Raw genomic sequence first — 27,684 nt, 5'->3', positions numbered from 1 at the left:
GAAGGGACTTTGTTTATAGTTACATCCTCAGAATTCAGAAGGCACTCAAATTTTTGTTAAATAAATATCTCTCATTTGTTACATATCTATATATATATATATATATATATATATGTAGTGTATATATATATATGTAGTACTCTTAGTGAAGGGGGGTAGGAGCCAGATATAGTATAAAAAAGAAAAATCCAAATTTTAGTCATGGCTTCATTACTGATGAATTATGTTTGCTTTCGCCAAGTTACTTTAGTTCAGAGATCTCAGGCTCATCAATTTTTACCTTTAAGTAAAGGTATTATCTGTCATACTACCTAGTTCATAGGGCAATTATCAAGATCAAATAAGAAAATATTTATAAATATGCCTTGAATGCATAAGGCAGTATAAATTTTTACATTTTTACTTACATGACTGTATTTTCCCACAAAGGAGGAAGGGACAATCTTAATCCCACTCCCCGTAACGATTTGTTTAGTAATACTTGGTATTTTGTAAATATTTATCAAACTCAGAAAAATCAGTATTATTAAGTTTAGGCTATACCTAGGTAAACTGAAAAGCTTAATTTTAAAATTTCTGCCAAATCATGAAAATGAATAAAAACTATACTTACCTCTAGCTGCTTTTACATTAAATCTTAATCTTCTCAATGCTTCTTCTGTATCAAAATTGCATTTAACCAATTCATATAAAGCCTAGAAAAATAAAAGGCTTGAATATGTGACAAGGACTATAAACAGTTCAATGCTACAATTTCTTAAAAGTTTTTCAAACATCCAGTGTTTTCATCCTTTTTGAGGGCAAATAACTTTAGTGAATGTTATATATAGAGAACTCCAAAGAAAAACAAATATGAATTCGATCCTGATAAATCAACTACCTTTAAATATGTACAAAGTAGGATATGCATAAACTTGGTGGCCATAGTATCCCTAGGACTAAAAAGAATTCATTTTATATCAATGAAAATCCCTTCTTTGTGGCTTCTTGAGATTCCTATAATTTTAAACAAATCAGAAAAAAACAATGATTAAAAAGGTAAAAAAGATAGGTTCATGGTAGGCACTGGTCTTACCATGTACATAAGATAATCCGAGGTGAGAATTCCAACTTGATATACACAGATTCTTAGGGATAGCCAAAGGAATTTTAAAAAGCCTAATGAAAAGTATATACAGGCAAAATAAAACAGGTTTTTGTTTCGTTTTTGAGCTTCACACCAATGAAGTCACTGTGGTAACAACGGATATCTTACAGGGATTATAACCTCAGATTCCCTGTCAATAATGTTATAAAAAGTTTGGTGGACAGAATAACAACAATGCAAGTGACAGCATTTACATGTATAAATGTGTATGGCAAAGTTCTAACAGTTGTTTCTTTCACAGACCTGTTCATTGTCTTTTATGTGAGATCCTTCAGGAATTGCTTCTACACCCTTCTCATCACCTGTTCTTCTAGATGCATCTTTAAGAAATATAATCACTTTATCTTCTGGTAAGTACTCAGGGTCCCACAGGAGCTGATCATCATTTTCATATACTAAATTAGTAAAAGACAATGTTAAACAAATTTCTAAAAACTGATAGAGTTTGTGTTAAAACATATTACTAAATAAACAACTCAGAGCCAAATGTTGAGAACTGAGGTACAGTGTGGTTCTACTACTTGCCTGACTTCGTTCTTGGGCAAAAACTATAGTTTAAGTAAATTAAACAATTTAAACAGAGAGGAGGTACCACTTTATGCCCCCTGCAGATCCAGTCTGACTTTATCTTGAGTTTACCAAATTCCAAGCTCTCTTGGTTGAATACCATCTCTACCACTTATTACATGTATGATGACCTTGGGCAAATTATTTCCCTTCTGTCTCATCTGTGAAAGGAGGTAACAATAACTCTACCACATAGTTTTAAGGATTTAAAGCACTTTACAATCATTCTGGCACATACTAAAATCCTGTAATTGTAACTGTAACTATTATTTTTGAAAATATGTCTAGAAGAATGCTCACCAAATGTTAACACTGCTTAATTCCTGGTGGTGGGATTTGAAGTAAATTTTACTTTATGTTTTCTGTGATGCTTGAGTTGTATAATGTATATAAATCACTTTCACAAAAACAAGTCATTACTTTTTTAAAGGTATTTAAGTTTCATCATAATTTCCATTATAAGAAGATGAAAGCCTAAATCTAATTAAAACTCAAAAAGTAATGAAAGGAGGATGACCTAAGACAAAGCCTGTGGAATTCCAAATGATAAGAAGAAAACATGGATAAAATTCAAAAGTCACAAACAGAAGAAATACCAAGAATGTAACATCACAGATGCTAAGGGAAGAGAGTGTTTCAAAGAATAGCTTCAAAGACTGGTTAAATTCTGTTGAGTGATGAGGATGAAAATTGAAAAAGGTTATGCCAGCTTTACTAACAAGGAGGTGAATGTTGTGAGAACTTTCTGTAGAGAGATGGAAGCAGAAGCCACATTGGATAAGACTGAAGAATAAATGGAAAGTGAAGAAATAAGACTCTTGAAAAGTTTAGTTATGATGGTGGAGATAGGGGAGTAGCTAGAGAGTAGAGGTGAAGAAAGTTTTTATGTTGTTTTGGTTTGTTTGTTTTCAAAGATGAGGCAAATATGTAAATGACAACAGGAAGGAGCCAGCCTGAGAAACATTTTAAGAGACAAAGAATAACTAACAGCGTCAAAATTTCTTTTATTATGAAAAGAAATTAACAGCTAATTAAGCATATCCTATGTACCAGGCAATGATTTTTTTTTTTTTTTTTTTTTTTTTTTTTTGGAGACGAAGTCTTGCTCTGTTGCCCAGGCTGGAGTGCAGTGGCGCGATCTTGGCTCACTGCAACCTCCGCCTCCCAGGTTCAAGCAATTCTCCTGCCTCAGCCTCCAGAGTAGCTGGGACTACAGGCATGTGCCACCATACCTGGCTAGGTTTTTGTATTTTTTAGTAGACAGAGTTTCACCGTGTTAGCCAGGATGGTTCTCGATCTCCTGACCTCATGATCCACCCGCCTCGGCCTCCCAAAGTGCTGGGATTACAGGTGTGAGCCACCGCGCCCGGCCGTATTATTTTCACATGAATTATCTTGTCCCCTCACCCACACACACTTCAAAACCTTCTTCTATCTTCCCTTGTTTCCCAAAATAGATACTTTTGTTTAAAGTACAGCCCAAAGGAAAATATTTAGAAAATCTTCCTTAATAAACATCATTCCTTTTCTAATCTGCTGGTACAATCCTAGTTATATCCTAAATTATAAATACAATAAAACTACCATGATAAAATGAATCTGGATATACTGCTATTGATTTCTATTCTCTGCTCAGCCTCTGTTCTCTGCAGACGAAAGTTCTTATATTTTTGGGATCTTTGGGGTAGACAAGGCCATATAAGGAAACCCTAATTCGGAAATAATTCACCCACCTATTCACTTAGGCACCAAATGTTTACTAAGTGCCTATGGGGCAAGGATCGACCTACTTACCAGTAATGCTACAAAGATGAGTAAACAAAAGGTTAAAATACACTGTGGTTAGTATAAATGATAACTTACATGAATTTAGGAAAAAGTTAAGGGTAGCTCAGGAGATTTTGTAATCAAAACAGATACAAGTCCAAAGGAGCATGCCTGGAATGTTATTATAACTAACAAATCATGTTTATTTAACTGTTTGAATTAGGAGTGCTAACCAATGAAGAATATATAATCTGCATGGTGCCTAATAAAAAAAGTCGGATGGCAGAGAGAAAAAATTTGTCAATGTCTCTCCAAGATACTAGGTAAGGAGGTTTCCACGTATCAATGAAAAGGAGAATTCTGATCCATCCATTAAGTAATCCCTACAATAAAGATATCAGGATATCTTAGTTTTGTGGCACTTAAAAAAAAAAGTCTGTGTTCACAAAACTGATGAAAAATATCCTGTGAAATGTTTTCCATAAGAATGCACTAATCAGCACTGTCCCTTTGACAAGTTTTATTTCTAACAGCATAGTTTACCTAATAGTTTCAAGAATTTGGTTTATGGTATAGGGTATCTTAAGAGGAGACAAATTCTGGGTATCCTGACAAAAGTCTGAATTTCTAGAACTACAAAGCTGAGGAATGCCCCTTTACCACAGCGATCCCTCCAAAGCAATCTCATTCTGCTAAGTTTAGTCTGATCCTCCTTACACAAACTAATATACTTAAATTCTCAAAATGAGAAAGCTTCATAAATCACTCGTCCCTGAAAAAAATTACATATGCATAATTACTTTCTAAAATCATGTTAAAATGGAAAATATTAAGTTAGAATTTAAACCATGAAAAAATCAGAACAATTAGACAAGAGAAAGATATAAAGGCAATCCAAATTAGAAAGGAAGAAGTCAAATTATCCCTGTTTACTGATGATATGATCTTGTATTTGGAAAAACCTAAAGACGCCACAAAAAACTATTAGAACTGACAAATTCAGTAAAGTTGCAGGATACAAAATCAACATACAAAAATCAGTAGCATTTCTATATGCCACCAAGTCAACATTCTGAAAAGGAAATCAAAAGACTAATCCCATTTAAGATAGCCACAAATAAAATCAAATACCTAGAAATTAACCGAAGAAGTGAAAGATCTCCATAATGACAACTATAAAATATTGACAAAAGAAATTAAAGAGGACACCAAAAAAAAAAAAAATGGAATGATATTCCACATTCATGGATTCAAAGAATCAGTGTTGTTAAAATGTCCATGCTACCAAAAGCAATCTACAGATTCAATGAAATCCTTATCAAATTACCAATGACATTCTTCACAGAAATAGAAAAAAAGTTCCTAAAATTTATATGGAACCACAAAAGACTCAGAATAGCCAAAGCTATCCTAAGCAGAAAGAACAAAACTGGAGGAATCACATTACCTAACTTCAAATTATACTACAGAGCTACAGTAACTAAAACAGCATGTACTGGCATAAAAATAAGACATACAGAACAGAACACAGGACCCAGAAACAAGTCACATACCTACAGTGAACTCATTTTTGACAAAGATGCCAAGAATGTACACTGGGAAAAGATAGTCTCTTCAATAAATGGTGCTGGGAAACTGGATATCCATATGCAGAAGAATGGAACTAGACCCCTATATCTTGTCACACACAAAAACCAAAATAGATTAAAGACTTACATCTAAGACCTCAAACTATGAAACTACTACAATAAAATATTGGGGAAATTCTGCAGGACACTGGACTGAGGGCAAAGACTTCCTGAATAATACCCCACAAGCACAGGCAACCAAAGCAAAAATAGACAAATAGGATCATATTAAGTTAACAAGCTTTTGCACAGCAAAGGAAACAATCAACAAAGAGACAACCTACAGAATGGGAGAAAATATTTGCAAACTACCCATCTTAGAAGGCACTAATAACTAGAATATATAAGGAGCTCAAACAACTCTATTGAAAAAAGTCTAATAATCTGATTTAAAAATGGGCAAAAGATCTGAAGAGACATTTCTCAAAAGAATACATACAGATGGCAAAAAAAGTGTCCATCAACAGATGAATGCATCAAAACCACAATGAGATACCATCTCACAACCGTTAGAATGGCAATCATTAAAAAGTCAGGAAACAACAGGTGCTGGAGAGGATGTGGAGAAATAGGAACACTTTTACACTGTTGGTGGGACTGTGAACTAGTTCAACCATTGTGGAAGACAGTGTGGCGATTCCTCAAGGACCTAGAACTAGAAATACCATTTGACCCAGCCATCCCATTATTGGGCATATACCCAAAGGATTATAAATCACGCTGCTATAAAGACACATGCACACGTATGTTTATTGTGGCACTACTCACAATAGCAAAGACTTGGAACCAACCCAAATGTCCATCAGTGATAGACTGGATTAAGAAAATGTGGCACATATACACCATGGAATACTATGCAGCCATCAAAAAGGAGGAGTTTATGTCCTTTGTAGGGATATGGATGAAGCTGGAAACCATCATTCTCAGCAAACTATCGCAAGGACAAAAAACCAAACACTGCATGTTCTCACTCATAGGTGGGAAGTGAACAATGAGAACACTTGGACACAGGAAAGGGAACATCACACACCGGGGCCTGTCGTGGGGTGGGGAGAAGGGCAAGGGATAGGATTAGGAGATATACCTAATGTACATGACAAGTTAATGGGTGCAGCACACCAACATGGCACATGTACACATATGTAAGAAACCTGCATGTTGTGCACATGTACCCTAGAACTTAAAGTATAAAAAAAAAAATGTGGTACTTATACACAATAGAGTGCTATTCAGCCATAAAAAAAGAATGAGATCCAGTCATTTGCAATAACATGGATGGAACTGAAGGTCATTATGTTAAGCAAAAAGTCAGGCACGGAAAAGACAAGTATCCCATGTTCTCAATTATGTGTGGGATCTAAAATCAAAACAATTGAACCCATGGAGATACAGCAGAAGGATGGCTACTAGAGGCTGGGAAGGTCAGTCCGGGAAAGGAGTAAGAGAGAGGTAGGGATGGTTAATGGGTACAAAAAAATAGAATGAGTAACCCCTAATAGTTGACAGCACAACAGGGTGACCATAATCAATAACTTAATTGTACATTTTTAAAGAACTATAAGAGTATAAATGGATTGTTTGTAACACAAAAGATAATATGCTTGAGAGGATGCATACACCATTTGCCATGATGTGGTTGTTACACACTGCATGCCTGTATCAAGACATCTCACGTACCCCGGAACTATATACACCTACTATGTACCCACAAAAATTAAAAATTAAAACTAAGCATAAATAAGAGAATGTGATCATTATTCACTGTTGATATATAATACGAACATATTAAAATAAAAAACAAAGTATACTGCAATAAAACTATTTTCAACTATAATATAAATTTATAATATAAATACTAAAATATAAAATAGGCTCTATTATCTTTCATTGTCAAAATTTAAAAGAAATTTAATAAAAACAAATGTCTTTCAGTTCATTTATTTGCAGAAAGAAAAACCTCAATGGTGAACATTGCTAACTACTATACGAGTAAAGCACAAAACTGACATTTCAATTACAAAAATAAATACAAAAGCCAACAGATCATTTATTTTGGCACACAATTATACGTTCACAGAACATACCATATGTACAGAATTTCTATATGTAATAAAGTCACTCCATACTGCTAGCTTCAATGTTCCTATATCTTGCAGGAATTACCTTGAGAAATAAGTGGTAGCTATTAAACATTTAAATGATGTATTAAAACATATTGCTATCACAAAAACCGTACTGGCCTGTGATGTTCCCTTGACTGCCTCTGACCTGCTGCTTGCCCTGAGAGTAGGTGCATACTTAGAATATAAAGTAAGTTTTTGGAGAGAATGCTAAAAAGAAATAAACAACAAAAAACTTCTATTAATACAACTCCAAAGGCCTTTGTGTATATTAAGTTGAAATGTGAAGAAAACTGAAATAAAAGAAATAAAGATTTCTAGTCCTGAGTGATGTCACACTGCACATGAACTCATTAAAAGCACACATACGGCCAGGTGCAGTGGCTCATGCCTATAATCCCAGCACTTTAGGAGGCTGAGGCAGGCGAATCACCTGAGGTCAGGAGTTCAAGACCAGCCTGACCGACATGGAGAAACCTCATCTCTACTAAAAATACAAAATTAGCTGGGCGTGGTGGCGCATGCCTGTAATCCTAGCTACTTGGGAGGCTGAGGCAGGAGAACTGCTTGAACCTGAGAGGCGAAAGTTGCAGTGAGCCGAGATTGAGCCATTGCACTCCAGCCTGGGCAACAAGAGCAAAACTCTATCTCAAAAAAAAAAAAAAAAAAAAAGGAAACATACACAGCATTTTTTCTGGAACTCAAATGAGGTGAATAATCTGAAACAGACTCTTTAAAAAAAATCTTCAGCCAGGCATGGTGGCTCACACCTGTAATCCCAGCACTATGGGCGGCCGAGGCAGGCGGATCACGAGGTGAGGAGTTTAAGACCAGCCTGGCCAACATGGCGAAACCCTATCTCTACTAAAAAACACAAAAAAATTAGCTGGGCGTGGTGGTGGGCACCTGTAATCCCAGCTACTCAGGAGGCTGAGGCAGGAGAATCACTTGAACCCAGGAGGTGGAGGTTGCAGTGAGCCGAGATCATGCCATTGCACTCCAGTCTGGGCAACAAGAGCAAGACTCTGTCTCAAAAAAAAAAAAAAATCTTCAAGTATTGTATGTTATTGGAAGTATGACTTACTTCAGGACTTTCAAATGAAATGAAATGGAAAAAAAAAAACATGTAAAATTTAAGTATACAAAAGTTGTTTTCCCAAATTATTTTTAAAACACAAGCATCAAAGTAATCCATTTTCTTTATTTTTTTCCTCAGACGGAGTCTTGCTCTGTCACCCAGGCTGGAGTGCAGTGGTGCGATACTGGCTCACTGCAACCTCTGCCTCCTGGGTTCAAGTGATTCTCCTGACTCAGCCTCCTGAGTAGCTGGGATTACAGGTGCGCGCCACGACGCCAGGCTAATTTTTGTATTTTTAGTAGAGACGGGGTTTCACCATGTTGGTCAGGCTGGTCTCGAACTCCTGACCTCATGATCCGCCTGCCTCAGCCTCCCAAAGTGCTGGGATTACAGGCGTGAGCCACGGCACCTGGTCCAAAGTACTCCATTTTAATAAGCACTCCATTTTGCTTAGTGAAAGTTTCAGGAGCAAATAAGCTGTTTATATCAGTTATTTACTCTCGTTTGTTTTTATGCCTTTCATTGATATAAAATGGACTTCTAAAAACTAAATTATAAAGATTAGAGAAGGGTTAAAGTTTAGAGCACTGAAAATACGGGGAAAAAAGTAAAAAAAACTGTTGAGACATTGTAAGTCACTTTAAAATGAAAAAAAGCATTCACTTTTTCCTTTTTTGGCTAGGCTTCTATAGACCAAACTGAAAAAATTGAGTACACACATTCTTCTCACAGAAATAATGAAGGGTCCTCTTTCACAAACCAATGGGGTTACAATGGGGTTACTTAGTAGGCTGTCATGTTCTTATCACATTTTACATATAAAGTAACAGTTCATTACACTGAAAGCATAAATTCAGCTACGTAACTTTACTAATAACCCACCTTTTTCATTTTCTTTGTATCTACAAATGCCAACTGGAATTTCTGCTTGAAACATGGAGCCCACCATAATCTCCTATTTTAAAAATAACATAAAACATTAGTAAGATCTAGTAACAGATTTTATATCCATTTTCTAGCCTTACCATCTTAGTAAACTGTTCCTGGTTTCTCTGTCATAAAATACAAAAACAACCAATTAACTACCTCAGAGGTACCTTTGTGAAGATGAATGACAAATAATGACTGGATGAAAATATTAGTAATAATACTGAGGTGAAATGCAACGTAAACAATAAATACAAACTTTATTTCAAAATATAGAGACAAAGAAGTGAATTCTGATAATTCCATTAGTAAGACAACTGCAAAACATGTAAAACACAAAGTCAAATTCAGATATTTTCAGAGTATCTACACTTAAGACAGTGGTCTTAAATATGATCCCTATATGAGCAGCATCAGTGTCATCTATGAAATTTTTGTTTTTTTGAGACAGGGTCTTGCTCTGTCACCTAGGCTGGAGTGATCATGGCTCACTGCAGCCTCGACCTCCCAGGCTCAAGCAATTCTCTCACCTCAGTCTCTGAGTAGCTGGGACTACAGGCACATGCCACCACACACAGCTAATGGGAAACTGTTAGAAATGCAAATGCTCAGGTCCCACCCCAAACCTACTGAAACTCTGGGGACAGGACTCAGTCATTGGTATTTTAACAAGCTCTCTAGGTGATTCTGACATAGACTGAAGTCTGAAAAACAGAGCTTCAAAGTAGGAAAAATAACAAAAAGGGTTTGTATAAAGCTCAGTAGGGGCCAAATGAAAGAAACTCTAAATGAAATAGATAAGCAGGTTATGGCTTGACTTTCATTAAAACAATACAAAATGAAAAAGTAACCTCCTCCCACAAATATAATTAAATAGGAAATCCAGTAATCATATCTATACAGTCAAATCACAGATTAGGTGAAACTGGATGTTCTCAAAAGCAACTGCAAACTACCACTGGTGAAATTTCACAATGCAAGGAGACCAAGATTACATGAACCCTCTTTTGTGTGATGGCTAAATGTTAAGAACACATTTACTGACATTTTCAAAATTGGGCATGAAAGGTACAAAATCATGGTCTAGAAGTTTTGGTAACTCTTAGGATTTGGAAAGTCTCTCTCCTGCTATTGTTACCTCACTGATGTGAGGAGCTCATTTTATCCAGTACAACTTCAAAGACGTGCTTTATGTAATAAAGTTATTTCTATACCCATAAGAAAAACCAATCTTTCTCATGATCAGTTTTCTAAAAAGAATCAAACTTACAACAAATTTTCTCTACCCTTACAATGGAATTCTCTTTATGTCTTCTACTATAAAAAGAGTCCTTTATTGTCACATCTTGTGCCTCTTTTAACTTAACTCACCTAGGCCTACCAAAGAACATTGTCAAGTTACTAACCCTGGCTGGGGTGCTTCTAAACCATCAATGCCTGGATCCACTGCAGGACAATTAAATTAGAATCTATGAATGAAGGCCCTGGTAGTCAGTACATCTAAGTTATCCAAATGATTCTAACATAAAAACAGGGTTGAGAACATCTGGATTAGTTTAAAGATAGGTACTTCCTTTTTCCTGTTCAGTTCTGAACATTTCTTTTCATCTGTTAATTTGTTCGGTAGTACAGGGAAGGGAAGGGAAATAGCTTTGAAGATCATTATGTGTTAACATATCATATATGCAATTTTCCTTTAATCTTTCAGCAAGCCCCATAAGGCTGACATTGTTATTCCCATACTATATGTAAGAAGATGAAGCTCAAAAATTTGATTTTCTCAGGAGCACACAATTACTAAGTTCTAGAGCTACAACTAAAATTCAGGTTTGACTTCAAAACTGTTTCCCCTACCTTAAGTTTCTATAAAAACTCAATTTCATCTTATAAGTCTTAAAAAAAAATGAATCTCTGAACCTTGACAATTATTTAAAACAACAAAATCATACTGAAAGAAAACAATCTGCATTTACTCTGGCCTGCTTTATTACATAATTTTTTTCTGAGAAAGGTGTGGTTAATTAATACCCTTTCTGAGTAAGGTGTGGGTAATTAATACCCTCCAGCAATGAGAGGTGTTCTACCTCTGAGCTTTTGTTCTTTCATTTAAAAAAAAAACACTGAATGCTTAATCAAATACTCTACTGAACACTCCAGATTAAAAAACAACACATGTTGAAGATACATAAACTTGAATATGAAGTGGGACAGCAATTTATAAGGACTCCCAAGGTTTCTAGCTTTTTTCATCTTAATTTCTGCACACTGTAGGAATCAGATTAAAAACAGGATGAAAGAACCCTTGCCCAAATAGGCCACACAAATTAACTTTTGTGATTCTTGTTTTCTGTCGAGTCCCATCATTTGCTCAAATTAACACATACCGTAAACTGGGCTAACCTTGTCTCTCAACAAAAATAACATTATTTCTTTGTTTTAACCAGTTCTACATAAAAAATTTTTTTGAAGACATGGGGTCTCACTATGTTGCCCAGCCTGGTCTCAAACTCCTGGGCTGAAGTGATTCTCCCTACCTCAGCCTCCCAAGTAGCTGGGACAACAGGGGAAACATCACTGCAACCAGCTAATTCTACATAATGTTTAGATAGATTTTTCCTAAGAGCTCAGTTCTTTTACAATAACTTACAATTCTTTAACTTAACTGTATGATTAATTATATGCTATATAATTTTATAATTAAAAACTAATCTCAATATATTATCTTTAGATTCATTTCAGAAATTAATTGTATATAGTTACGAAGAAGCCAAATCTGTTTCTTCATATAATAAGCTTATCAGTTGTAAATGTCAACATTAAATTCAATCATTTGGAGAGTTTTTCTTTTATAAAGTAATACAGAATGAAAAACTTGCAATATGAACTACTAAACAAAATTTACTTAACAAATATCAAAGCCTCCACAAATGCTTTCCATAATATTGAAAAACATATACGTGATACTTTTTACAGGGCAACAAATGCCTAATTTGGCACTAGTTCAGGACTAAATCAGAAATGTGGATTTCTGTTTTATTTATTTTTTGTTTTGTTTTATAAAATGAGACAGGGTCCCGCAACGCTGCCCAGGCTGGTCTCGAACTCCTGGGCTCAAGCGATCCGCCTGCCTCAGCCTCCCAAGTGCTGGGATAACAGGCGTGAGCCACCACACCCCGCCAGAAATGTAGATTTCTAATCTAACCTAGATGTGTTAAGAAGGAATCTGAACATTTACCAAACATTTAAATGTCATAAAAGGGCTTACATCGATTTTATCAATATACATAGTTAGTAAAAAAAAAAATAATTACACGAGGCTTTTTAAAAAAATATTAATTTATCTAAATTTTGGGAAAATATTGTTCTAACTACCTTTTTCCAGTCTTCTGATGGAATATAATCTTCATCTTCTTCAGATTCTTCTTCTACTTCACTATCTAGAATAAATAAGACACCAATACTATAAAATGACTGCTTATCCTGTCTAAATCTACATATTATTTTTACATCTACCATCAAATATTTGGATATGCTCAAAGATATCTAATGAATTAAGCCAAGATATTTCTAACCAAATAATTAACACCCTATCACTTAAAAAAACAAAACCAAAAAAACCATAAACTTTCTACATAATTGTATTCTCATGAAATGATTTCCTATAAAAACTTAGGGGAAAAAACTGATTTAGAATAAAGATAATATTATCTTACTACATATTTCATGACAGTTTATTTTTCTTCAAGTGTTTTTCTTCCTTTTAAAGTAGAGAAATTTAGGTGTATTTATGAATATACCTAAAAAAGGCTAAGAGGCAAAGAAAGTAAAAAATGGAAACTAAGGGAAAGACTATGAGAAACAAAAAGATGACCATGAAACAAACATTTAAAAACAGGGCAAAGAAAAAACAAATACACCCAAAGTCAAGTAGTACATGACACAATTACCATAGTATATTCACTAACAACAGGGACCCTGCATTGCTAAACTAATAACTTACAACAAAATCCATTTACTGTTGAAAAGAATTTCAGACTAAATGAATTCAAAGACCAGTTTAAAAAAGAGGATTTTAGGTAATACCTAAAATAGTAAAAATTATATTCAAATATTATCAACCAGTAACACTTACTTGTATCAAAATATTTACATCGACGTGGGCGGATTATTTCCTGGGCATCTTGAGAAGCAACAGATTGTGATGGATCATCATTGGAAGACTGAGTTTCATCCTCCTGACCTGATGAATCCTTTATATTCTCCTCCTGTGGAATAATAAATTAAATTTCTCTAAGATGTAAGGAAAACAGTTGCAGATGAAAGACCATAGCATATAAATTTTGTTCTAATATATGCAGAAGACTAAAATGAATATACTAGATGTAGTATCATCCTCTGGGTTGGTTCCTGCAACAGGAAAAAGTACATTAGCAGAAAAACTGGTATAATTCAATCTGCAGTTTAGTTAATAGCACTGTACCAAGATGTTAACCTTAGCAGAAGTTGAGGTAAGAGTATACAGGAACGTTCTATACTAACTTTAAACCTTTTATAAATCTAAAATTATTTCAAAATAAAGTAAGAAAAATAAACACAAACTGCCAATTAGCCTTTATTATTTAAAAGCAATAGCATTTTTTTAGAAAGTTGGTATAAATTAATTAGAATAAGCACTGGAAAAAAAGAAACCTGAAATGACAAGACCAAACTGTTACCTCAGGAGTAAATTACAGGGGATTTCCAATTTTTATATTATGTATTTCTGTAATATCTTAATTTTTAACACTTTTAAAATCAGGAAAAGATTATAAAGACAAGTAATCAAAATATATTAAGCAATTTTAACTTCAACAAGAATAAAGACTACAATCTTAAATATATGTATATAGACTTACTTTATTTTCCCCACTACAGCCACTGTTGTCATCATTATCAGCATCTTCATCATCTTCACCTTCTTCTTCCTCTTCTTCCTCTTCCTCATCTTCTTCAGGTAGTCGAACAGTACTACCATAACCATAAAGGCTGAGAAGTTCATGAATTGGCATGTCGCCTTCCTAAATAAATCAAAATAAAAGGTAATCTCTGAATCAGTGATATTTCTGATTCCCAGGCTATAATCCACAAATCTGTGGAGTATTCATTCTATAGTGAAGAATAAAAGCTGTGTTACGAATTCTCGGATCATAAAAAGTAAAACTGAAAATATTTCTGAAACCTAGGAATATCCCAATCTTTTAAGTATTTCTATAAAATGAACCAGTTATAATTGCTGACAACAAGATCTTTAAGTATAATTAAAAAGTGGCCTTGGTCTAACATGGACTATTCTTTTTGCAATCAATTCAGTATATGCACAATGACAGTTAACGCTATGCATGGATGCCCACTCTTAATAAGAGTACCATACTTAACTTGAGGGTGGAGAAATAGAACAATGAGAAATAGACTATAAGTTAACAAACCCAGAAAGGCAGACGAAAATTCAGAGCTCAGCCCGAACACATGAAAAAAAAAAAAAAAAAAAACACAAACAAACCAGTAGTAATATACAGAAATGATAATGGACTACATTAACCATATATTCTTCTCTATGGTTATCTCCATTTACATATAAAATCATCTCATGAAATCCTTACCATCTATCATACGGACTTGTTATATTATTTCCATTTCATAGATGCGAAAACAGAGGCTGACAGGTTAAGCATTTCTTCACAAATCACACAAGTTACAAGTAGTAGAGCCAGATTTAAACAGTCTAACTCCAAAAGCCCATATTCATATCAATACACCATGGTGCCTTGGGCAGGGACTTCCCTCAATCCCCACAAAAATCAGACCCTCCGTGGATGAAAAAGAAATGTCCATACACAATGAAATGAAATCAGCTTTCTATACAAACTACTCACTCTAACCAGTAAACAAGAAATGCACAGCATCAGGGAAACATAACAGAATTCTGATTATAAAAAGAAAATTTAATCCAAATCATGTGAACATATTATACACTCATGCACACCCACATACAATGCACATGGTCTGAAGCAAAACAGTCAGAAAACAATCAGTTTAGAAGCTAGAAAAAAAAGGGTAATCATGAAATAAGACATGGTTTATGTTTCTCCAGCAGTCATGGAAAGAAGTAAGTCTAGCTCATGTGTTAAACACATTGCTACAATGGATATGGGTAAATCAGACTGGATTAGATGATACAATTAACCTGCATCACTCAAAATCCATGTGTGGGAAGAAATTAATGATTATCATTTGAAAAGATTTTCTTAGGAAGAACTAGGAAGAAACTGTCATCCAAAACTTCTATTTCCCATTACAAATGGATATTCTGGTTATGAATGAGTTTGTGAATCTATTTCTGAAAGATAAATCAATTCCAAGACCCCTAATGATTTGCAGAAGCTACAACCTGAAAAGCGGTAACTTTATCAAGGCAAGGTATTGCCACTCTAGCTAAATAACCAGCTGGCAAACAAATGACAGCTCTTACACTGTGTCTCTCAAAGTACAACACCAACAGTGCTTTAAGTGTTCAAGTATCTGGTCCATGTACCAAGAATCTGGTACAGGACATTGGTATTTGGGAATCTGGAGAGTCAATACTCAGGAACTAAAACAAAACTTCAAAATAAGAGATAGAAGTGTAGTAAGAGAAATATAATGAAAAGGCTAGATTTATTTTTTGAGACAGGATCTTGCTCTGTCACCCAGGCTGGAGTGCAGTGGCATGATCACTGCTCACTGCAGCCTCAACCTTCAAATGATCCTCCCACCTCAGCCTCCCAAGTATCTGGGACTATACATGTGCACCACCATGCCTGGCTAATTTTTGTATTTTTCATAGAGAAGGGTTTCACCATGTTGCCCAGGCTGGTCTCAAACACCTGGATGCAAGCGATCTGCCCACCTTGGCTTCCCAAAATGTAGGATTGGAAACATGAGCCACCGTGCCCAGCCTAAAGCTAGTTTTATATACAAGAATAACAAATAGCTGTCATAAAGTATCTTCTATGTGTCAGGCATTTATGATAGATGCTTTGATTTCACTGTCTTTTTCTCTTGCAACCATGAAAGCAGTGTCAACACACACAATTTCATTAGATCTTTAGAAGTACCAAATGGAGTGCTTGCTACCTTTATTTGCAAATAAGGAAACCAGGCAGAGAAACGTCAGGCACTGATACTTTATTATAATACCCAGACCTCCTAATCTCAGGTCATGTAACGTTTCTTAAGCTCATATCCTGCACCCCAAAATCAGAAGCAAGTTTAGCAACTGATCACTATTGTGAATAAAAGCCACTGAAGTCACTAGTATGAATAAGGGCCCCAAAAGGAAAAAAACATAAGCGTTAACAGTTTGCAACTGAAATTTACATAGGCCTTAAGAGTTCATGAAAAGCTTGTTTCATTATTTATTTGATCCTCAAAACTATCCTGTTAACCACTACCTTTAATTTTTATAACTGTGTTATAACTAATCCTTTGAAACCACACAGCTAATTACATAGCCATGCTCTATTTTGAACTCATCTTCTGACAAGATCATGGTACTTCGTTCACTCCAAAAAAAGGTGTATTAGCAACCAAACAAATGCCCTCAGGCTCTCTACGATTGGTCTGTCTTATTAAGGGTATCAGAATTACCTTGAGGGCTTACTAAAATGGGCTGCTGAGCCTCACCCAACTTTCTGACCTAGTAAGTCTCCAGTGAGGCCCGAGTACCTGCAATTAAAAAAAAAAAAAAAAAAAAAAAAAAAACTCAGGTGATGCTAATGCTGCTGGTATGAGACTACCTTGAAAACCACTGATCTCACAGGTCTGGGATAAGATACCTGCAAATCACCCTTTCCAATGGGAGGTAATAAAGCTTGAACATTAACTTTAATAAAGCTTATCGTATGACATATGATATCCAGCTCAAATATTTGTCAAAAGGATAGGTGACATACTAACTACATGGAAAAAGAATTTTTCTTTTTTAACCATTATCAAGAATGTAGAATGTCTGACAATCATAGATTAAGGTTTTTCCCTCCTGGATATACAGATAAGAAGTGTGACTCACTTTGTAAAAATTCATTTCTCAGGCCAAGCGCAGTGGCTCACGCCTGTAATCCCAGCACTTTGGGAGGCTGAGGCTGGCAGAACACTTGAGGTCAGGAGTTCGAGACCAGCCTGGCCAACAAGGCAAAACCCCATCTCCACTAAAATTACAAAACAATTAGCCAGGCATGGTGGTGCACACCTGTAGTCCCAGCTACTGAGGAGGCTGAGGCAGGAGAATTGCTTGAACGCAGGAAGCAGAGGTTGCAGTGAGCTGAGATCATGCCACTGCACTCCAGCCTGGGTGACAGAGTTGAGACTCTGTCTCAAGAAAAAAAAAAAAGGAAAAAGAAAAAAATTCATTTCTCAAAGAAAAATTCTCCAACACCTCCAATATTGACTAAGCAGAGAACAGAGAGAGTCAAAAGTAGCCTGATCACAGTGCATTTAGAGGGGAAATGCTTGAATTACAATCGTAATAGAACTGGCACAGATGGAGAAAAGTCATTCAAGTCAGAGCAAATGACAAATGTATGGTACAGAAACAAAAATGAATAAGCCAGTCACCCTGATTAGAGCAGACATACCATTTACAGTAACTAAAAACAAAGTATCATTTCAGAAGGCCATACATTACTGAAAGATCAGTTATAGATTAATGAAAGTCAGGATTACTATTTTTACCTACTTTCTCTAGTTTTACGTAATTTTTAAAGGCTTCTGTTATACTCCTGACTCAATTTGAGCGTACTGAATAGTTACTGACACTCTGGAAGTATTTAGGGGAAATTACACACACAACAAAACACTCAACGTGAACTTAGGCAGGGGAAGATTTAGTTTGCTTGCCATGTGGGAATCCACTGCTATCATTCACTACACATTCACCTGTATTATGATCAGAACCTAAATTAAATTAGTGGTTGTGGAAAAGAAAAAATTGAAGAGATGCAACAGGATTCAACCAGGGATTAGGAGAGATGGAGGTCCTGGTGATGCTGAATCCCTGGTTCCATATATTCCTTGTACCCAACTACACTTTCATATACCTTCTAATAGTTTATTTTTACACAACGTTATTTTTAGATGGGCTTTATCACATGGAAAAAAAATACCCTTACTTATTCAATCAAGAAAATGCTTACTTATGCTGGGTGCAGTGGCTCACACCTGTAATCCCAGTACTTTGGGAGACTGAGGGGGACAGATCACTTGAGATCAGGAGTTCAAGACCGGCCTGGCCAACATGGTGGAACCCCAACTCTACTAAAAATACAAAAGTTAGCCAGGCATGGTGGTGTGGGCATGTAATCCCAGCTACTCAGGAGGCTGAGGCAGGAGAACTGCTTGAACCCAGGAGGCAGGGGCTGCAGTGAGCTGAGATTGTGTCACTGCACTCCAGCCTGGGCAACAGAGTGAGACCCTGTCTCAAGAATATTAAAAAAAAAAAAAAAAGGAAAAGAAAATGCTTACTTACTAGTATTAAACTTGTAACTCAAGCTGTCACCCAATATCAAGTGAGTAATATCAGCTTAGTAAGCAACAAAGAAAAAATCATCACCACCAAAAATACAAGTTGAAGCACGACAGTATAAAAAGTCTCTTATTTAATCTAAGGTAAAAGTGAAAATCTTGCAGCAAACTCCGGGCTACAACTATAATAAAAATCAGAATCAATTTTGCTGAGGAATCCTGTTTCAAATTGCAATAGCATGTATTTGTGTTCCTGCTTTGTGCTAACTGAAGTAAAGATTTAGCAAGCATAAACAAGCATCATGTAAGGATTATTTATTATTTCCCCTCCAAGCCTCTCCTACTCTCTACTTCTGTACTTGTCTTCTCACATGAAATGTTCTTTCTTCCATTCCAAGCACTTATTTTTCTTGAAAGTTCACCTCCTTGACCATAGTAGCTGACATAATTGGAATAACTGTATTCCCTGGCCGTAGATTTGGAGTGGACACATGACCCAAGCTTGTCCATACTTTGTTTCTGGAGTTTTATCAACAGCAACTTAAGAAAGAAGCATAGACTATCTCAAGTAGTAAATGTGGGAGACCTACAAACTGACAGCATAATATGAAGAAAGTTGGTCTGAAAAGACAAGTCAGGTGGGACACGGCTCACGCCTGTAATCTTAGCACTTTGGGAGGCCAAGGTAGGCAGATCACTTGAGCTCAGGAGTTCGAGACCAGCCTGGGCAACATGGCGAAACACCGTCCATGTAAAAAATACAAAAAGAATTAGCTGGGTGTGGCAGCGCATGCCCGTAGTCCCAGCTACTAGGGGGGCTGAGGCAGGAGGATGGCTTCATCCAGGGAGGCTGAGGCTGCAGTGAGCCAAGATCGCACTGCTGCACTCCAGCCTGAGTGACAAAGTGAGACCCTGTCTCAAAAACAAAAAGAGGTAAACCATGTAGAAAAGCAGAAATAGAGAAAATAAATTCTGGTGGCACTTGAGTCCCTGGGAGCAGATATATCCCTCCTTTAATGAAATTCCATGAGACTTACATGAAATTCTTCATTTTGTCTAACCTAGTTTGAGGTTAGACTGTCTGTAATCTAGTTACAGACAGATTTCTGTCTCTGCACCCCCAAATTCTGATGCTATAAACAGTAATGATATCGTGTAACGCAAATATTCCGTTATTTCCCTCTGAAAAAAGATTTAAGGATGAATAAAACTTGGCCAAAAGTAGTATACTATTGTACCAGGGCCTGTCAGTCACCTGTTCCAGAGAATTTCTAATTAGTTTATATTACCAAAGTCTGCATTCTACCAGTTACTCAAGGGCTTACTTCAACTTAAATTGAAACATCACAATAAAGTGGCACAGTGTTTTATTCCCATTCACGTAAGTGTTAAAAGAGTATAAAAAGGCGAGAACAGAGTGAAAGAAAAAATTATGTGGCAAGTTGTACATTTTCAGTTATAGGTCAGAGACTTTTTTGAGAATCTTATGAATGACATTAACTAAGATTTATTTTGTGTTTATTATGTGCCAAATATTATGTTAAGCGCTTTAGATATATTATTCTTGTAATAACATCTGAAGTTTAACAATGTTAAGTAACCTATCCTAAGTCCCACACTGAAATAAGTAGTAGAACTGGATTACGAACCCAGGCAGTCTAACTCACTGCTTTACACTGCCCTTCTGTACATATGCATATATACTGCCTTCTTCAAAATCTAACGTCAGGTTAAGTATACAGCATCCTGTTACAATGTGAAATAAGAGGGCTGATAAACTGTGAGAAATAAGGAAAGTGGGCATAGTACATGATGAATAAAAATACAGGAATGTAGCCAGGCACGGTGGCATGCACTTGCAGTCCTAGCTACTCAAGAGGCTGAGGCGAGAGAAAGGCATGAACGCAGGAAGTTAAGGATGCTTGAGCTATGACTGCACCACTGCACTCCAGCCAGAGCGACAGAACGAGACCCTGTCTCTAAAAAATTAACTTAAAAAAAAAAAACAGGAATACACACTATATTTGCAGACTGTATTTTAAGAAATGAGTTGTCTTACACTGTAACAAAAGGAAGGGCAATCATGTCTGCATAAGCTAAAGGAAGGCTGGCTGAAGGTGGGAGAAATGGACTTTTTAAAAACATAAACCGACCAGACTCAGTGGCTCACGCCTATCATCCCAGCACTTTGGGAGGCCGAAGTGGGAGGACTGCTTGCACACAGGAGTTCAAGACCAGCCTGGGCAACAGAGCAAGACCCCATCTCTACAAAAAAATAAAAAATTAGCCGGGCATAGTGGTGCACGCCTACAGTCCCAGCTACGTGGGAGGTGAGGCAGGTGGATCACATGAGCCTGGGAAGGTGACAGAGTAAGACCCTGTATCAAAAAGGATAAACACTATATACTATATCTCAAGTTAAGTCTGCCCTAATTTCAAGACAATAGGGTAAAGTTATCAAACACTAACATATTATAGGTTGGAGTGGCATCCAACTCCTAGCTGCAGAAGAGGTGCTAGTTCCTAGCTCCTTCTCCCTCACATCAGGAGGTTAGTCATTAAGAAATGGCAGATGCTGACTTTCAAGTCAAGGCCATTTGGTGGATGTAGATAGTACTCTTACACCTGTTGTACCAAAACTGACTTACCAATAAAATGCTAATGAAGATAGGAAGAAGGAAAGAGGCAGATTTCCAGCCAAAAAGGCCTAAGGGACCACATCCAGACTGAACTAGAGAGATGGTTCCTAAGGTAACCAATCTCTTGGGGCTGGGGCTTGACTAGAAGATAAAACTATATAGGAATGAAGGCACTGAACTCTTCTTTATAATCCTCACACTGAGATTTCTTTTCTATCTATATAATTAATTTGTGTGTATACGTCAAAATACTGCAATCTCTCACATTTTAATCACACATTTTAATTATTCTCTAGCTCTGGATGGAACACATCTAGCACTTTAAAAGTATGTATTAAATACTGATACTGTTATAGTGTGATTTTTATAAAATATATCTAAATACATAAATATATTGCAATCTTGATCTTTCTTTTCCCAAATGGACTGCCACAATTGTGCCCATTTAGAGTCTCTGAGTTTAAAGAGTTCATTTGGAAAACAGAGTTAAACTAGAGTGTTTCTATTTGTAGCAAACAAAAATGTATCTATGGCCAGGTGCAATAGCTCACGCCTGTAACCCCAGCACTTTGGGAGGCTGAGATGGGCAGATCACTTGAGGCCAGGAGTTCGAGACCAGCCTGGGCAACATGGTGAAACCTCATCTCTATTAAAAATACAAAAATTAGCTGGGCTTGGTGGCACATGCCTATAATCCTAGCTACTCAAGAGGCTGAGGCAGGCGAATTGCTTGAACCCAGGAGGTGGAGGTTGCAGTGAGCCGAGATCGTGCCACTGCACTCCAGCCTGGGCAACAGAGTGAGACTCTGTCTCAAAAAAACAAAACAAAACAAAAGTCTATTTATTTACTATGAGAATGATTCTGACATTCCCTCTAAGATCACTAATCACTACAATAAATAATAACCTATACACCCAATTTTATTAAAACACTTATCTTTTATATTGTCATAATCCATGCATACAAATGTAACAATACACATCAAAACTTCTTTCGAGTTAGTTTTCACTGAAAAATTCTAGAATTCAAATTGAATGAACTTAAAACCACATGCTATACAGTTATTGATATTTCCTGAATGAATGTCAGAGTTCTGCCACAATACATCAAAAATTCATTTCATGCAACCAAGGTGTAAGGTGAAAAACACTATCAATCCCTGACATAACTAATGTTTTGCTTCTATAAAAGCAAATCAATAATCAACACAACAAAATCTTATTCACTTTTTCAATAAACACAACAAGAATTTTGTTTGGTTCAAACCTAAAGAGTTAATAACTCTAGGAAATCCAACAAATTGGCCCCAAAATATTGCTTAGCTTCAGGTTACAGATGAAAAGCATTCTATGCTACTTAAAGCTTTAATTGTTTCTGGGAGAAGTCAGAGAAGAATCTGAGAAGGTATAAGGCTGTCTAGTTGAAAGGATGATAAAGGATTGGTTCAACTGTCTTTTTTTCCCTATCTCTATAAATAATTCTATTTTAACTTCTATTTCCTAAGGCAGGGTCACTTGAAAGCAAGTTTTAAGGCACTATATGGGGCTGGGGAAAGGAATAGGAGAGAAAAACAGGAAAAGGCAATGATATAACCAAAATTTTAGCACAGCCCATTAGTAATTTTCTACTAATTAAATGTAATAAATATCTCATTTTCTGAAATAGAAAAAAAATAACTAACTCATAACCCATTATGAAAACTACTTATTTCCTCTTGCTAATTAGTATTTTAGCTAATATAGAATATAAGACAGAAAATACAAGATTTTATTACTGTACCTTTTATCCCACAGATGGCTATTCAGAAGCAAAAAATATAAAGTGATAGATCTTCTCTGAATATAGGCAAACTGAAAATAATTGTCTTCTCACTTCACAAATACATGAAGTGACTATGATTGTTAAATCAACTGTTTCCCTTATAACTGTTTTTGAATCGCTTCCCAGCCTCCTACTTTTAAACAATAGTTCTGACTTCAAGTTCTTCAAGTGCCCTGTTTTCAGACACACAGTCTCTGAAAAATAAAACAGGGTAAATAGTAGTAACATTTTTATTCTGTCACCCAGGCTGGAGAGCAGCAGTGCTATCATAGCTCACTGCAGCCTTGGATTCCTGGACCCCAGCAATCCTCCCACCTGAGCCTCATGAAGTGTTGGGCCTACAGGTGCATGCCACCATGCCTAATTAACCTTTTTAAAAAATTTTTTGCAGAGATGGTGGTCTCACTATGTTGCCCAGGCTGGTCTTGACCTCCAGGCCTCAAGTAATCCTCCTGCCTTGGCCTTCTGAAGTACTGAGATTACAGGTATAAACCACTATGCCCAGCCCTTCATATGCTTTTTAACCCATTCTTGAAAGACTTTTGTGATAGCCAATATACACCTTTGACACATTAAATTATTCAGACATTGTGGATTAAGTCAGCTGTAATCACTAAATGATCTAATCCCAAAGCCAGCTCTAATCCCACAATGGGAACACCTGACAAGATTTCAATAAACAGTAATAGAACTCCTTTTTGAGCTCTTTAAATGTATACTTTAAAAAGTTACAAACTAAAATTATGAGACATAGGTCTTTATTACCATAAAAGTATAAGCATTCATTTTTCATGATATTATGTATTCCAAATCCTTAAAGACTGGCACTATGTCTTATTTCTTATGTTCTTTTTATCATGGAGTACAGGAAATCATATGCATGATATATTTTATTAGAACATACCAGACTGATATATCCATTCATTCATACAATACTTTTGAGTGAGCACTCTTGCAAGGTACCATGAAATACACTGGTGAATAACAGTCATTTTATTTCATCTTCTCAAAACCAGTGGAGGTACAGACAATAAATTAAACAAACAATTACAAATTGTGTCCTAACACTAAAGAAAGCATTGAATAGGGGACAGTGGTTAAAAAAAAATAAAAATAAAACAAAAAACTAATTAAAACCTAATTAGGGGACAGGAAAGGCTGCTATTCTGAGGAGGCAACACCGAACCCAGAGGATAAGGAGCCGGCCTTGGGATGCATATACCAGAGAGTGAGAATGAGCTGAAAACCCTTGAAGCAGAAGAAACTAGCCTATTTAACAACAAAAGCAGCTAGTGTGGCTATAACAGAGGTAGTGTGATACATGGGTAAGAGGCCATTATCATGCAGGTGGCCTTGCTGGCCTGGTTGAGGAGTTTGGGTTTTCTTTGGATATAACAGGAAGCTGGGAGGTTGATATTAATTGATTTACATTTTGAAAAGAAGATCACAGCTGCTGGGTGGAAATGTATCAGGAGAAAGATGGTAAAAGAGGAAATGGGGAAACCAGTCAGGAAGCTACTGCAATAGCCTAGGCTAGAAAGAATGGTAATCTAGGCAGCAATGGATCAAGAGTCGGCTAAGGGATATTCTTGTGGATACAAATGATAGGTTTATTTAGAAATAAGATATTGAAAGAGAAGGAAAATGACTCACTGGTTTCTGACTTAGGCAACAGGGTAAATAGTAGTACCACTTTTTACTGATAGGACAGGGAAAGAACAAGCAGAGAAAAAAACAACAGTCAATAGTTCTGTTTTGGACATTTATAATTTAGAGATGTCCATTTAGTTAAGCAAGCAGAAATGTCAAGGTGGACAAACAAAACTGGAGACAGGAAATAGGTTAATGCTAGAAATATAAACTAAAGAATACTAAGGATATACACACCAAGGGAATAAATTAAATCACACAGCTTAGTGATTTTCAAATTTGGTGTACATATAATGCCAACTTACTTAATGAAGATGTGGATCTGAACACCACCTCCAGAGATTCTGATTCAGTATGCCGGGGGAGAGGTCCAAAAAATCTGCTTTTTAAAATAAGTACAGGGTTGATTCTGATGCAACTGACCCTCATACTACATTTTGAGGAGCACTGATCCAGACAGAGACAGGAGAGAAAAAAAGAAGGTCCAAACTGAGAATCACAAACTGCCAACATGTAAACCTTGAGTAACGGAAGAAGAGTCTGCAAAAGATACTGAATAGAAACAAAAAGATAAAGAAAACCAGACAGTGGTGTACTCCAGAATTCAAGTAAAAGAAGGGAATGTTAAACTATATTGAATACTGCTGAGAAAAAGTAAGGTAGTGAGAGAAAAGTGAATATAAAAATGGATGTAACAAGGAAAGTTCACTGGTCACCTTGATAGGAAGAGGTGGAGATAATCTAGAGCACTTTATGTAGTGGAGATAATCTAGAGCACTTTATGTAGTGAATGGAAAATGATACTTCAAGAATTTTTGGCTCTGAAGGAGAATAAGTAAAAGATATGGTAACTGGGGAAGGACAAAGGATATATGAGGCCGTGTAGAATCCTTTTATAGTCCATTTTTGACCAGACCTTTATAGCAGAATCATTTAACAGTCTATGTTTTACCAAAGTAACTATGTGAATTCTGTTATTGCACATAATAAAGTTATTGTTTTTAAATCCTTTCATTTCAAACTTTAAATATCCCACCTATGATCACACAAAATTTTTCAGTCATTAATATATAACACAATTTCTCTCCTAATCAGAGAATCAAAATTTCAGATCTTCCCTTTCCACAAAAAAGTCATAACCAATTCATACCCTAGCTCTACATGTTATTTACCCTTGCAAGATCTTCTATTTCAGAGCTGAAGTTTGTTTCTCCTTCCATCATTTCTTCCTCTTCTAATGTTCGTTCATCATCAAAATCATGAACCAGCATGTCAGCTGATGGATCAAATTCATGGTCATCTGATGTTGCTGAACCTCCTGGTAAGGAATATTTCAAAAAGTTTGGTAAACCAAATTAAGTGGATCTTATTAATATTAATGTATATATTTTTATTTGATGCTGGATGTAAGTCAAAAGTACCAAGAAAAAGCTACGCACAGCAACTATTATGTATTGCTTTTTAATAGTTACAACAGAAAAATGGAAGGAAAATGTTTATAGCTTTAAAAGTGTTTATAATGTTATAAATATGAAAAAATTGTAAATAATAAATGGTCATATCAAATAAGAACAGGCTTTTCGTGTGGAAAAAAGTCTCAATTCTTTTTTTTCTTCTTCTTCTTTGAGACAGGGTCTCGCTCTGTCCCAGGCTGGGGTGCAGCTCACTGCAGCCTCGACCTCCTAGGGCCAAGCGATCCTTCTACCTCAGCCTCCAAAGTAGCTGGGACTATGACCACAACACACAGCTAATTTTTTAATATTTTTTTGGTAAAGGCAGGGTCTTGCTATGTTGCCCTGGCTGGTCTTGAACTCCCAGGCTCAAGCAATCATCCTGCCTTGGCGTCCCAAAGTCCTGGGATTACAGGTGTACCTGGCCCTAAAAATCACAATTCTTAACCATTTGATTAATGTTTGATAGAACCAATGAGTATGAACTCCTCTGGCCCATGAGGAGACTGTGAGTCAGCCCTCCATGTCCATGGCTTCTGTGTATGTGGATTCAACCAACAGCAGATTGAAAACATTCAGAGAAAAAAACAAAAACAAAAAAACCTCTGTCTTCAACACGTACAGGCGTTTTTCCTTGTCATTATTCCCCAAACAACACAGTATAACTATTTACATAGCATTTACCTATATTAGGTATTTTATATATATATATATATATATATATATATATATATATATATATATATATACACACACCAGATTATTTAAAGCATATAAGAGAAATGTGCATAGGTTACACGCAAATACTATGCATTTTGTGTCAGGGATTTGAGCATCCACGATTTTGGTATCCGAGGGAGGTTTACAGGTATCGAAGGATGACTGTATAGTCATGTGAAATATACAGTCATCTGAATACACAGTCTAGTGAAGACACAGCTGCACTCAAATATTATTATTCTATAAGTACTTCCTTGAAAATACATTCTAGTGGCTGGATGTAGTTGCTCATGCTTTAATACCAGCACTTCACGAGGCCAAGAAGGGAGGATCACCTGAGCCTAAGAGTTTGAGACCAGCCTGGGCAACATAATGAGACACCGTCTCTACAAAAAATTTAAAAATTAGCTGGGTGTGGTGCTGTGTGCCTGTCATCCCAGCTACTCAGGAGGCTAAGGCAGGAGAAGTGCCTGAGCCAGGGAGGTCAAGGCCACAGTGAGTCATGATCACACTACTGCATTCCAGCCTGGGAGACAGAGCAAGGCCCTGACTTTAAAAAATAAAAAATAAATAAAAAAAAATCTAATATTTGAGTAGCTGTCCTTAACTTAGTGGATTTTGATCAGAAATA

The 27,684-nt window shown here is 36.1% G+C and overlaps 1 protein-coding gene across 31 annotated transcripts in view; it reads right to left on the bottom strand.

Annotated features, from left to right (window-relative positions):
• MIER1 (MIER1 transcriptional regulator) overlaps positions 1–27,684 on the bottom strand; it is a 63,630-nt gene that overhangs the window by 16,270 nt on the left and 19,676 nt on the right. For 24 of the 31 annotated variants that reach the window (NM_001146110.2, NM_001350530.2, NM_020948.4 and 21 more), the window contains 7 exons: positions 26,055–26,200; positions 14,130–14,291; positions 13,367–13,499; positions 12,607–12,671; positions 9,190–9,262; positions 1,391–1,542; positions 614–695 (listed from right to left, as the gene is read on the bottom strand). In NM_001146110.2, the coding sequence (NP_001139582.1) occupies positions 614–695; positions 1,391–1,542; positions 9,190–9,262; positions 12,607–12,671; positions 13,367–13,499; positions 14,130–14,291; positions 26,055–26,200 (813 nt within the window). Of the gene's footprint in view, positions 1–613; positions 696–1,390; positions 1,543–9,189; positions 9,263–12,606; positions 12,672–13,366; positions 13,500–14,129; positions 23,427–24,104; positions 26,201–27,684 lie in introns of those variants that run through there. The other 7 variants (XM_017001923.2, NM_001146113.2, XM_047426265.1 and 4 more) reach the window with 4 other exon arrangements.

This window comes from Homo sapiens, chromosome 1 (genome assembly GCF_000001405.40).
Source record: "Homo sapiens chromosome 1, GRCh38.p14 Primary Assembly".
NCBI lineage: Eukaryota > Metazoa > Chordata > Mammalia > Primates > Hominidae > Homo > Homo sapiens.
The sequence above is the reverse complement of the archived record's forward strand: the minus strand, read 5'-3'. Positions and strand labels throughout refer to the sequence as shown.